The sequence below is a fragment of the Homo sapiens genome, chromosome 9 (genome assembly GCF_000001405.40).
Source record: "Homo sapiens chromosome 9, GRCh38.p14 Primary Assembly".
NCBI lineage: Eukaryota > Metazoa > Chordata > Mammalia > Primates > Hominidae > Homo > Homo sapiens.
In genome coordinates, this window is record NC_000009.12 from 8596525 (window position 1) to 8610954 (window position 14430).

Genomic DNA, 14430 nt, shown 5'->3' on the forward strand with positions numbered 1-14430 from the left:
AGGAGCAGAAACAATGCGGAAAGTGAGAAAGAAAAGTCCAGTTATTTTGAAAAACAAGACTGGTTTCAATATTATCATTTGGCCATCTTAAGGAACTGCAGGTTAATCAATACATTATAATTGATTAAAAGGAAGTATTTACAATATATACAATAGTACTAATATATTTAGACACATAAACTACATTTAATAAAATCTGTGTTAAGAGTCCTAAACAATGCTATAATATTTAATCCTTATCTAAGCTAGGCAACACAAAGCAACAATATTGTTGATAAACAGCTTTGCTACATAAGGTATTGGGAAACTAAGTAAACTTGTGATAGCTTTGGTTTTTAAGGTGCTATGGTTGGACTCCATTTGACACATTTAATAAATGGTGCATACAATTTTTAGCTAAATATCTAACAGGATGTCATCCTAAAACCTCATGTTCCTATATTACTGTGCTGTTAACAGAAACAGCTTGCAGAGATTTATGGCTTCTATTAATTACACTAAAAAATATGGTAGATTTGCTCAAATAAATCAATTGTAACAGAAAAAAAGCGCATTTTTAAAATTACAATCATGCGTTACAAATGACTGCCATTATCAATTCTGCCTTTTCATTTATTCCCAAAGTGAAGGGTTAAAGGGGGAATCTTTCTGTTTTCCTAGATTTAACCCTGGAAGAGCAGTCTTTGAGTTAGTACTTTAAATAGCTTACAGGGATTCTAGTTAATAGCCTCAAAAATTGGAAAGAAATGAGACAAAATATCAAGACAAGAATAAGATTGAAATATATAAATTTCTGCCTATCCCTGTTTTTATAAAGTAAGTTTCCTCCCCTTACCAATTATGTTTCAGTTCTATATTTCCATTCAGTGCTACTTTGGCTTTTTTTAAAATTATTCATATACCTGTTAATACACCCTCCTTGTTCCACAAAGAATTTACCAATCTTTGCATTTATACAAACAATAAAAGCAAAAATATCAAAATAAAACAAAAAAAAGGAGAAAATATTTTTACAACAGTGAAAATAAAAGGAAGAAGGAAAGATCAAATAAAAAACAGAATGCATTCAAGTTTACATTTAGAACTACATTTCAGATTTCTGAACACTTTTTGTTGGGCTCTAAATCAATATCAATTTCATGCTCACTGATGTTCCCAAGGAGTTGTGTTTCTTTATTCAATATGGCCCTGAACACTGTGAGCCCTAGATGTAACTTATATTCTCAAATACTTATGTGGCTTGGCATTCATACAGAATCTGTCTGAATTGGTAAAAATACTCAGATTTGTTTTTTCACTCTTCATTAACCTCCTATGACAAGTATAATCCACTATCCCAAATATTTATTATTATTTAAAAGAAAAATGTACTCATTTTTCTTGGACCAACTTGTTTAAAGACACAAAGGACTCATCATCCTGAAGAAAATTACAAATGTATTAATAACTTTTTATGCCATCTATAAACATCTCTCATTTTGGTACTAAAGAAGATAGGGGTCTTTTTATCCCCTTACTAGTTAGAGAAGAGCCAAACATATAAATATGCATGGAGAAAAGCCTGAGAGAACATCTACCAACATGTTTACAGTATTTATCTGAGTCACTGGATCATGATTAGACTTTCATACATTCTCCAAATTTTCTACAATGAGATTATTGTTCAAAAATAGCCAGTGCACTCTGGGAGGCCGAGGAGGGCAGATCACCTGAGGTCAGGAGTTTGAGACCAGCCTGGCCAACATGGTGAAACCCTGTCTCTATTAAAAATATGAAAATTAGCCCAGTATGGTGGCATGCTCCTTTGGTCCCAGGTATCCCAGTTACTCGGGAGGCTGAGGCAGGAGAATTGCTTAAACCCAGGAGGCAGAGGCTGCAGTGAGCCGAGATCATGCCACTGCACTCCAGCCTAGGCAACAGAACAAGACTGTCTCAAAAAAATAAAATAAATAAATAAATAAATAAACAAATAAACCCAGCATCTGAAAAGTATCAAAGTACTGAAACAATAAAGGACATATAATCAGTCAATATGAAAGCATAATATTTTTGACCCTTAGAAAACAGGCTAGGAAAATGGTCTTTCTATCAGATCATGCCTTTTAACACAAGCAATTATTTCCAAAAACCAATCAAATGTACAATGCTGCTTATACTTCATAGCACTAAAAAGTATCCTTCATCATGAATGGGAGAGGATCTTTCATTGGAAGAGCCATTTGTAAAGGAAACCACTGTCTGACCTTCTCAGAGAAATGCTGTCTTCCAACGAGTTAAAATGCTTGGGTTATCAATCTATGAGCCAAGTTGGAATCATTAATCCCAAGTCTAGACATTTCAAGACGTAGAAGCAAAATAGCAAAAGATACAGAGTGTATAGAGTTCTGCTCCTTTGCTGGAAAAGGAGACAAAGGTTGAACTTTAACTGAAAAATGATACGGTTTGTCTGTGTCCCCATCCAAATCTCACCTTGAATTGTAGCTCCCATAATTATAACGTGTCCTGGGAAGGACCCGGTGGGAGATAACTGAATCAAGTGGGCAGGTCTTTCCCAAGCTGTTCTCATGAGACTTAATACGTCTCATGAGATGTGATGGTTTTATGAAGGGGAGTTCTCCTGCATACATTCTCTTGCATTCCACCATGTAAAACATGACTTTACTTCTCATTTGCCTTCTACCATGATTGTGAGACCTACCCAACCATGTGGAACTGTGAGTCAGTTAAACCTCTTTCCTTTATAAATTACTCAGTCTCAGGTATGTCTTTATTAGCAGCGTGGGAACAGACTAAAACAAAAAGTAAAAACTGTCTATGGCCATATCTGTCTATATCACCCTGAATGCACCCCATCTCTTCTGAAAAGTAAAAACAAAACAAAAGTCATTGAAGCATCAGTTACCTATGGAACATCTTGTGTTTGCAAAACTGATGCAAACAATAACTCTGGAGTAATGAATTTTTTTGATACTTTTTTTTCTTAATTCAAAAGTAGAAAGTTACAAAACACAAAATTCACAGAAAACAAAAGGGGGAACGCAAGATGGATGAGGGCTCTACTGATGGCCCTTTCCCCCACCCGCCCACCCTTTTTTTTTTTTTTTTTTTTTTTTTTTGAAACGGAGTTTCACTCTTGTTGCCCAGGCTGGAGTGCAACGGCGCGATCACTGCAACCTCCGCCTCCTGGGTTGAAGCGATTCTCCTGCTTCAGCCTCCTTGAGTAGCTGGGATTACAGGCGTGCGCCACCACGCCTGGATAATTTTGTACTTTTAGTAGAGACGGGGCTTCTCCATGTTGGTCAGGCTGGTCTCAAATTCCCTACCTCAGATGATCCACCAGCCTCGGCCCCCCAAATTGCTGGAATTTACAGGCATGAGCCACGGCGCCTGGCCGGCCCCTCCCCTTTGGTAGAAACCAAAAATCAAGTGAGCACTCGCAGTGCCTAATTTTGATTTCATATTGTTGAAAGAGGCACTGAAGAAGGTAGAAAAGACAGTGGTGAATTGCCCACGCTGCCCCTCCCCCATCCCCTGGCTGCAGCCTGGTAGTGTAAGGAATCTATGTGCTTGGGATGGGTGGAGCACAGTGAATGGGAGGCTTTCATCCAACTCAGTGCTGCCCTCTCACAGTGGAAAGCAGAACCAGGCTGTATTCAGCCGACACCTGCCCATGGAGGGGGCATTTGGACTGGCCTAGCCAGACGGAGGGGATTGCCCATCCCAGCAGTCAGAGCTTGAGTTCCCACAAGCCTCACCATCACAGGCTGAAGCACTCTGAGGCCGTATGTGAACTCCAGGGGCAGTCTAGGCCACAAATACTGAAATTCCTAGGCAAGTCCTAGTGCTGCACTGGGCTCACGGCCAGTGGACTGGAGGGGCATGTAACCTACTAACACTCCAGCCTGGGTAGTTAAGGGAGTGCTTGGATCACCCCTCCATCAACACCAGGCAGCAAAGCTCACAGCTCTAAAAGACACCCTTTCCTTCTGCTTGAGAATAGAAGAGGAAAGAGTAAAGAGGACTCTGTCTTGCATCTTGGATGCCCACACAGCCACAGTAGGATGGGGCACTGGTCAGGTCATGAGGTCCCCATTATAGGCCCCAGGTCCCTGATATTTCTAGACACATCTTTGGCCAGAAGGGAACCTGCTGCCTTGTAGCAAAGGACCCAGTCCAGGCAGAATCCAGACCCTACTGACTAAAGAGCCCTTAGTCCCTAAAGAACCAGCAGTAATACCCAGGTAATATACCACAGGCCTTGGGTAAGTCTCAAACACATGCTGGTTTCAGGTGAGAACCATCATATTACCAACTGTGGTGGCTATGGGGAGAAACTGCTTCTGCTTGAGAAAAGCAGAGGGAAAAATAAAAAAGAAACTTTGTCTTGCACCTGAGGTACCAGCTCAGCCATAGTGGGGTAAAGCACCAGGCAGGCTCTCCGGGTCCCCAGCATCCTGGATGGCATTTCTAGACCTGCCCTGGGCCAAAGAGCTGATCGCCTTGAAGGGTGAGTCCCAGTCCTGGCAGCCACAAGCTGACTGAAGAGCTTTTAGGCCTTAAGTGAACACTGGCAGGAGCTTGGCAGTACTCCCTATGGGCCCGTGGTGGTGGCCATGGTGTGATGTTCCTCTATCTGTGGAAAGGGGACCGAAGAGTGAGAAGCACTATGTCATATGGCTTTATTGCCAGCCCAGCCACAGCAGACTAGAACACCAAGTAGACTTCTAAAGTTTTTGACTCCAGTCCCTGGCTCCCAGATGGCATCTCTGAATCTGCCACAAGCCTGGCAGAACTCACCACCCTTAAAAGAAGGCCTGGATGGCTTTGCCACCTGCAGACTGTAGAGCCCTATGGCCTTGAGCAAACATAGATAGTAGCCAGGTAATGGTTACAGCAGGCCTTGGGCAAGACTCAGTGCTATTCTTGCTTCAGCTATGACACAGCATAGTCCCAGTGGTGATGGCCACAGGGTTTTTTCTATGACCTCACCCTTGGCTCCAGGCAGCTCAGCACACAGAGACAGACTCCATTTGTTTGGGAGAAAGTAAGGCAAGAGAACAACAGTTTCTGCCTGGTAATGCACAGAACTTTTCTGGAGCCTATCCAAGACCAAAATGGCAAAACATCTACAAGTCTCCAAGAACCACTGTGCTATTGGGGTTGGGATGCTACTGATGGCAGTATTGTTTTTCCTACTGATTGACAGTGTTGTCACAGAGTAAATTCTTAAACGAATAGCATAGAATTCAAATGATCAAAAGCACATATTATCAGGGTTGGAAAAGGAAAATTAGAAAACCATACATTTATTAATTTAGTCAGTTAAGAAATATGTATCAAGCACCTAGTCATTGTGCCAGATTGGGGAATCTAGGTACAAAAGGTACACAACCAGCCTGGAATGGACCTCCAGTATGGAGATGAAAATAATTATAGGTAGTGACAATGGTGACCCAATGTAGTGCACTGCAAGGACAGAAAAGGGTAGAAGATATCAGATCTCCATCTCTACACTCAGTCACTTACACTTAGCAATGTGCTACCAAACAGAAGATGAAAAGGAGGGAAAAATGGAACATGACAGGAACTCCCTCTGCATATATTTACAGGCACAATGTCCAATAAACTGGTGAAAGAAAAGTGTTTCTATAAACGACCTTAGCATTCTATCTTTCACCTGAGCCAATAGTTCTAAATAGAAAACTGTGAACATGTTTTCACAATTAAGGTGTTTACAATTACATCTATCTGTAAAGACCCCTAGATATTGCTGGCATACACCTTCCTCATTGCCCAGGGCTTCTGAGACTTCACACTACCTTGTCTGTATAAGCCTTTGGTGGTGCTTCTTCTCTCCACTTATAAATAGGATGACAACAGCAACTGTGACTCTTGCCACATGATATAAACTTACTATGAGCCTTATCAGGAATGAGAATACCAGAGACCATTGTTTCATGAGATGATGAATTCCCTAAACGTGTAAAAAGACAATATACAAACAAATATTTAATTTTTAAAATTGTTTTTCAAAACTGCAGCAGGAATCAGCATGTTTTTATCTGACATAAAACCAAAACGGCCTTCAACATCTCTTTGTAATAGTCTCATGTGCTCAGACACTACAGACAATCGTCAATAGAAAAGACTGTCAACTTGAATGAACTCAACCTGCATCAATATTTTTCCAGAGTCAGCACCATGCCCAAACTAAGAGAAACATGCAGTTACATAAATAAATGAATATGGATGCATGTGCATATATATGCATTTGTATATACACAAAATGAATGTGAATATCTTTCTATATCTGTATCCTAGCTTTAATTCCATCTCCATCTCTATGCACCTGCATATACTCATTCAACTAATTCATTCATCTGCATAAACTCATTCGATATAATCCCCTTTAGTCAAACCCACCACTGAATTAGTCTTCCTTAGACTGCTGCCACTGGAAGATGAAGAGATTCCAACAACACTGCAAAAAAATATAGCAACTAAACCTGTCTTAATCAATTTTTAGGTTTCAAACAGAGGTTCTTAATCATAAGTAGTATTCTATTACCTGCAAGATGATTTGTATTCATGGAAGTATACTATAATCCTTACCAGAAACTAATAATGATTTTAATAAACTTGCATTGACTTCAGAGGTTTCACCATTTATAAGTTGCTTAATTCAGTCTTTGTAAAATCATTCATTACTCTTTACAGACATCAGCTGGGGAACTACAAGGCAATTATTAGATTAAACTGGATTTAAAGGTTGCTTTTATTGTAATTGCAAAAGAAAAAAATCTAAGTTTTCTTAAATATTATATTGTACTTAGACAACAGTTTAAACTCTTGGTGTGAGTAGAAAGGCTGGGTCTTTGGCCCTATAGACAGCTTTCTCCAGTCAGTGGTTTCAAAAGTATTTACTTTGTAACACTGGAGCTACATCTCCTTAACGGTTTGCTTTCTCACTTATTTGAGAACTTTTTTCCTATAACGTGAATAAAAAGAAGAACCTTAGCACCCCAAGCACCATTTTTTAAGTTAAATACTTCCTTTATATGAGAAGCAGATGCTGTCAATAGAAGTCACCCGAATTCAGCAAGCAGTTAGACGATTAATCAACTTAGAATATAAATCCAACTATAGTTGTTACTTATAAGGGAAGTTGATGAAAAGTACATGTCCTAACTCTCCTATCCATTGATATAATCAATCTATCAATAATAAAGTATTAATTAGAAATATTTTCAGGACTTTGGAGGAAACAAACAATTATACATTGCTTCCACATGCAAATATTTCACAATTTAGTTATAGTGAAATCCCTTAATGGAAAAGCCCAACTAATTAGAAGAAAGGCTACAATGAAAACATGTACTTTGTATTAAAAAGCATTAGACACTATAATGTGTTTCCTATCAACCATGCCTCAAAGTTTCTCCTACCTGTCCTGGAAACACAATATAGCTATTCTCACAACTACATATATCCAAAATTAAACAATTATGCTGAGAGTGTTTAATTCTTCACTTCAGCTTCCAGCATATCATACTGTCAATGAATTAACATTCATTGACAATCTACTATGTGCCCAGTACTGTTGTTGTAAAGTAAGGAACTCAAAAACAAGACATAGTCTCTAACCTCAAGATCCTCCCAGGAGAGGAGGGGAGACCCATGCATGAAGTAAAACACAATGCTTTAAGGTATAGTCGAGGAAAGAGCAAAGTGCCACAGTGGCACACAAGAGAGGACCATTAGATCTCAGAAAATAGCCAGGGAAGTAATATATGAGCTAGATCTTTTTCAGAGGAATAGATTTCCCAGTAAACATTAACTGGATGAATCACAGATAGGGTGGGAAAGGAAGAAGACTTACTAAGGCAGAGAAATACAAGCACAGCATGATATTTTTTGAGTGGAAAGTTCAGCCTGACAAGAGCATGAAGTACATTACATCAGATAAGGGTAAGTCCAAGATGAGGCCAGCAAGGGACCCTGGCCATACTGCCTCAGGGTTTTCTCCTATAGCCACTGGGGAATGATACCAAAGTGGACAGTCAAGGAACAGATGCCAAAACCCTTGCAAAAATCCCCAAAGCAATAAGGGGGACTCAAGCTAAATCAGATAAATATAGCATGAAAAGAGGAGGTCAAATTTAAGATGCATTTCTGAAGTAATCAATTATCTCCTAAGCTATTGCCTACTGAGTTTGGTGGAATAAGGAGGAAAAGAGAAATCAAGTAAGTCTGTGAGTTTTCAGGCTTTCATAAACGGGTATGATGATGCCATTAACTGAGATGGAAAATATAGAAAATGGGAGAGAAAATAAGGTCATCCCTTAACATGTATAGCCTGAGATTACTGCAATACATTTAGGTGCAAATATCCAGTGAGGAGGTATGGGAAAGTAAGCAAGTTATTTTCCATGCAACTTATTTAGGAACAATAGCAATTTGATTTCTGGGTTTTCCATTTATTTAAGTAACAAAACAAAAATAAACTGCCATCTTTTAATCTATTAGTTGAATCACTCTTGGTAACCTCTGGCCTATCAAACTGTGCAACTGCCCATGCTCCCAACCCAACTGCCACAAATAAACTCTTCTTCTATCAACCTCTTCAGCAAGAAAGCATTTTGCCAACATAATATGCCTCAGCAGACCTTAAAATAATGAAGTTGGAAAAATGTGGGTGAGCAAATTTTGAAGTATATTAAACCTGACAATTTAATATTTATGTAAGCTGCAAGTGCTAAGCATAATTGGACTTAACTATTGGCTTAGGTTTAATGGGTTGTGAATTTAACTTCATTATCATAGTTTTGCCTGCTCTTTGAGCTCATTCAACCGAACTAGAGAAAAAAAACTGAGAGCCATTTTCTACCTCACCAAAACCATTTTTGAGATGACCTGAAACCATTGGGTCAAAGAAGGCGGATTCTTTCATTTCACAAAAGAGAAGAGCTTCAGTGAAGACTCCTCAGTGGTTACAGTCAGAAAACAAACATGGGTTTACTCTAGATGGGCTAGTTACTGTGAGTCTTTAGGCAAGTTACTAAGCCTCTGGAAGCCTCCATCTCTACATAAATAGGGATAATATAAAACTTTCAAGATACTGTGAGGATGAAAGGAGAATGTACCTAAATCACCTGGCAGAATGCTTTTGCACATGATGTGACATCAGTGCACGTTGGTTCCCTTCAGCACTCATGCCATTACCTTGTGCTTCAACAGACTTACACCACTTCCAGGCCTTTCTGCTCATCTCTATGGAAGTTGGCAACATAAGCATACTCTACTTACTAGGGATTGATCATCCTACCAGCTATTACAGCCACCTCTCTGATACGATTTGTAGCATGTAAATCAGAAGCACAGGTGTGCCACAGCATGGATGAGTCCTTTGGGTTTTTTTGTTTTTGTTTTTATTTTTCGGGGAGCGGGGGTGTCGAGGGGTGGGGATGTACATCGTATACTATATCATCCTAAAGAACCTAAACTAAAAGGATCCTTATTTCATTCCATTTTATGCTTTATAAGCACAAAACAATGAATGGATCTACATACAATTGTGGACAAAATCTCTCTGAAGGCATGTCTCCAGGAATTCCTTTGTGGAATGTAGTGATGAGGAAAGGAGGAAGGAGGTTCCAAGGGAAGGAAAAGAAAGGAGGGAAAAGTGTCCAAATAACTGTCTTTACATGCATTCACAAACACACACACACACCCCCTCACAGTAGCCAATAGGCATGATTCTACAATTAGAGAATGCTAATGTAATGCCAGTATGCCTTGAGGAAGATCACAGTCTAGTCCTTTCATGTGGGGAAGAAAAGCCAAGAGAAGGAAAATCAATTACCTGTGAATAGCATCTTACAGGGGCCTCTCAACCTAACAAATGAAGAGACATGAAGCATATGCAGAGACATACGTTTCCTATGTGCAAGCATCAAGAATCCAGACCATATGATGTATAAAAGAGATGAAATAAGTTTTCAATTTATTTCCAGGGAGTAAATAAGTAACTGTTGAAGGAGGGAAACCAACCCCAGATGCTATTTAGGGCACCAAGCTTTACTTCACTACATGATGCTTGATATTCTGAAATCCATTCTGCCTTTCTCCCTTTCTCCTAAACACCTCCACCCCTTCTGCACATGAAAACAATGCTAAACAGTCTTTTCATATTTTGTTTATATTTTATGCTAGAGGAAGGTCATTTTTATATCTATACAATAATCTCTCTCACCTCCTTAGTTGCCACATTTTAAGTTACAGAAACTTTATTCAAAATGTTCACAAAGCACATTGCTTAAATTATAAATGAATCCAGGATCTGTCACAGTTTTTTTTGTGTGACCAAATTTGGGCATCTCTCTCTGTAGAAGCAGGACAATAGTCTTAGGTAAAGAAAACCTTACTTGAATGCTTAACTTCAACAGAAGCCCAATGGGGGCTGGAGCAGACACATAAATCAATGGTAGAATGCTGACTACCTGGGGCTGCAGGGTTTGGAATAGTTGGGAAGACATTGGACAAAGGATACAAAATTTTGGTTAGGAGAAACAAGTTCAAGAGATCTATTGTAGAACATGGTGAGTATAGTTAATATTATATTCTTGAAAAATGCTAAGAGGGCGGATATAAAGAATTCTCACCACAAAAAATATAACTAGGTGAGTTAATGCATATGTAAATTAGCTAGGTTTAGTCATTCCACAGTGTATATATACTTAAAAACATCATGTACATGGTAAGTATCTACAATTTTGTCTATTAAAATCTGTAAGCATATAAACAGCAAATTAAAAAATTCATAAAATAAGTAGGAATAGGGCCGGGTGCGGTGCCGCATGCCTGTAATCCCAACACTTTGGGAGGCTGAGGTGGGTGGATCACAAGGTCAGGAGTTTGAGATCAGTCTGGTCAACATGGTGAAACCCCGTCTCTACAAAAAATACAAAAATTAGCTGATCGTGGTGACACGCGCCTGTAATACCAGCTGCTCAGGAGGCTGAGGCAGGAGAATTGCTTGAGCCCGGGAGGGAGAAGTTGCACTGAGCCAAGACTGCGCCACTGCACTCCAGCCTGGGAGACTGAGCGAGATTCTGTCTCGGAAAAAAAATTAAAAAATAAATTAATTAATTAAAAACGAATGGGAGTGGCCCCTGGTTATAATGCCATTTGCAATGGAGAATGACCATCTCCTACTAGAGCTGCCATGCCAAACCTCGTGGAGATTCATAGAATAGTCACTTAATAAATAAACACAAATATTTATTTTATTACAGTTTATTGCAAATCTAGGATATATAATTTTAAGGCAACCTAGCAATAAGTTTAAGGGATGTTTTTACATTATGGTGGACTTTATAGGAAACAAATATTATTCTTGTGTCACATGTTTACATGTCAAATATAACTCTATTCAAGTTAACATGGAGGCTGCCTGCCACACTTGGGCTGCAAACATCTGTGATTACAGGATGTCAGCTTTTACGACGCACTGCATTCTAATCCGATAACCCAGTACACTGTTTTTCCATTATTCAATTCCGCATATAGCTGAGAATAGGACACAGTATTTCTAAACCTTTTTTTTTTTAATCTAGACTTCTGTATAGGATATATCTATACATTACATATTGAATTGAAGATATTACTGTTACCCTATTAACCCGGATAATACAAATAGTTGAACTAATTCAAGTTCCAAAGTAAAATTTCATGACTTGGATGATCCAGTTCAGCTGTCATGAAATAGGGATGAAAAACGGCACATTATAAAATTTTAGTAAAGTATTTTGCTTATACTACAAAAGGGCCAGCATATGGTATTCCTAATAAAGAGATTAGATAGGAAGAACGAGAGGTATTTCCAAACTCTAGAATGCCACTTAGCAAAGCATCACTGTGGTATATTTTAGCGCTCCCTGTTCACCCAGCAGAGCGCTCAAATCTAAAGCAACTGGTATATTCCAAGAGAGTCACTTAGAACCACTCAGAGACTCTCAGTGTCTCTCCCATATCTTCTTATGGCTTGACCCATCCCCTGCTCCAGGGCAGCAGGGAATCTGAATCTGAATTAACTGTCCACATATATCAAATCAGCCAGAATACTGGAAAATCACGGCGTTTAGTACATGAATAGCAGTTGCCATTAGAGTACTGACGGCAAATGGATGATGTAAACAGAACTTTGAAAATGCACCGAAAAAAATAAAAAAGGAAGAATAGAAGTACTCCTTTAATTTTCTTAATTCTGGAGGGGTTTATGGAAATTTCTCTTCAGGGATCTTCATGAATCGGGCCATATGTACTTTATCTCTACAATTGGGAAAGGATAAGTGGCCCAAAGAGAGTGAATCAGCACAAGTCAAGTGGTTGAGGCATTTTGCAGAGTGATGAGACTCAGACAGGACTTCGCAAAGAAGCAACCAGGTGAAAAACAGGCTTCTCAGTGTTTCCCACATATCACCTCTATAATTCAGAGGACCAGAGTCATCTGTGGGCAAAGTGCAGCACAACCATCAACAAAAACAAAATTCTCACATCTTGTCTCATCTTAAAAGTGAATGAGAATTTTACGTTTGTCTCCTCAATGAATGTAATTTTAATATTAAATAATCCTTGTTTTCCTTCAATCTCTGAGAAAAGCTGATATTCCGGGAAGATGAGACATATTAACTTTATCATTTCACATATGCTTGGCTGCATCCCAGGACTTGAGTGTGTTCACGTGGCAGCACTGGACAGGGTGTTTAGGAGGTAACTCCATAAAGGGCAGCAGCACAGAGCATAGGAAGGATATGGGATGTGAAGTCAGTTTCTTCAAGGTCAGGCTCTGTTTCATGTTTTGTGGTTTTGTCATCTTTTCTTACCTTTATTTTAGATTGATGAGTTGTGAAAAGCATTGCCCTTATGATAGAAGTATCATGAAAATAAACTAAATTAATATGTGACAAGTATGTAACTGGATGCCTGAATCAGGTGGATGTGCATTCCACGGAAGCTTGTGTTACCATGTGAAGATCTCTGCTCATCCATACACAAAAACCACAGAACAGGAGCAATTTAGCACCACTCATAAAACAGGGCACTTAAAGAGTAAAATTAAATAAAAATTATAAATCAACACAAAATCCACATTTGAACATCACTATTTAACTCAAGTTTATTTTTACTAATAGCTGGTTATAGGTACTAAATTACCCTGCAATAAATGATTTGCTCATAATTCATAAAAATGGAAGGGATACTTGAGTATTTTGAGGTTTTCCCTTAATCATTTGACTTTTTCCTTCCTTTTAACCGTATTTTTTCCTTATACAAATAATATAAAGGAGAAAAAATTCAGTATATTTCCTACATTAAAAACTCCAACATAAATGTTGAATAAGACAAGATTAGATTCATATTAAGTTCTGATTACGAGCTGAGCTACTAAGGCTCACTGTAGCTCAGGCTCCCTATTAGTAAAGTGGGAGAACTAATTTTCTACCTATCCCTCAGGACTGATATCGAGATTAAATGGGCTAACCTGTAGACTAAAGTGGTTTAAGAGTAGCACACATTTTAAGTATTTTGGCATAGCAGCACACTTTTTGTTAAGTGATCTTTATCATCATCATTATTATTTGTTGTTGTGCAAACACTGCTCTTTCTGAACTGCAGTGCACCCATCTATTTCAAAGAGATAATACTTCACAGGATTGCTGTGAAAAGTAAAACACATATATATATTTTTTGTAAAGCACTTAGCATACTGTTCGGCACATATTAAATACTCAATAAATGGTGGCTATTATCAATTTCAGTATTCAGAGGAAAAAATCTGAGGCACTGGAAAGCCTAGGGTTTTTGTTCAACATTACATTGCTAGTTAGTGTCGATTCTGGGATGGGATCCTAGTTTTTCTGGTGCCCAGCCCAGTGTCCCAGCCACACCACATGGTCTCCTATAGATACCTGAATCCAAACTAAAAACCAAGGGCTGATGCTTCTTTCCTCTCTGTTAGACAAATGAAAACTTAAACCATTCTATTTGAACAGCAAAAAAGCTGCGAAAGTCAAGGAGTGGGCATGCTAAGCACCACAGACTGACCTTTAAAGTATTTACTCATAAATATTCAGTTCAATAGCCAAATGCCAGTCTTGGTGCACCACTGTGGTTTCATTCACTGTTTGAAGTTACAGGGACATTATTTCATCCAGTCTAGTTCTGCTGTGTTATTCTACTTAGTTTTTAGAAGAGCTTTAATTTCCTGGCACTTTTTATTTTCCATATAATCATTTCATTAAACCATACAACAGGACGTGATCTGGTTTAGATGAAAGGGCAACAACAAGCCCCAGAAAAATAACTTTACTAGCCAGCTGCTAACATGCTGAAAGTAAGTTTTTCTAAGCCTAGCTAATTACATTAACA

General features: G+C 38.7%; 1 protein-coding gene across 55 annotated transcripts in view, besides 1 other annotated feature; it reads right to left on the reverse strand.

The window, feature by feature from the left end:
• The window catches only part of PTPRD (protein tyrosine phosphatase receptor type D), a 2298757-nt gene that overhangs the window by 282279 nt on the left and 2002048 nt on the right, over positions 1–14430 (reverse strand). The gene's annotated exons all lie outside the window — the stretch shown is intronic.
• Positions 3543–4043: an enhancer, noted in NCBI's record as "H3K4me1 hESC enhancer chr9:8600067-8600567 (GRCh37/hg19 assembly coordinates)". NCBI's record gives its function as "activates a minimal SCP1, AML or CMV promoter by ChIP-STARR-seq in primed H9 embryonic stem cells {active_cell/tissue: H9 hESC(primed)}" and the evidence as "EXISTENCE:reporter gene assay evidence [ECO:0000049][PMID:30033119]".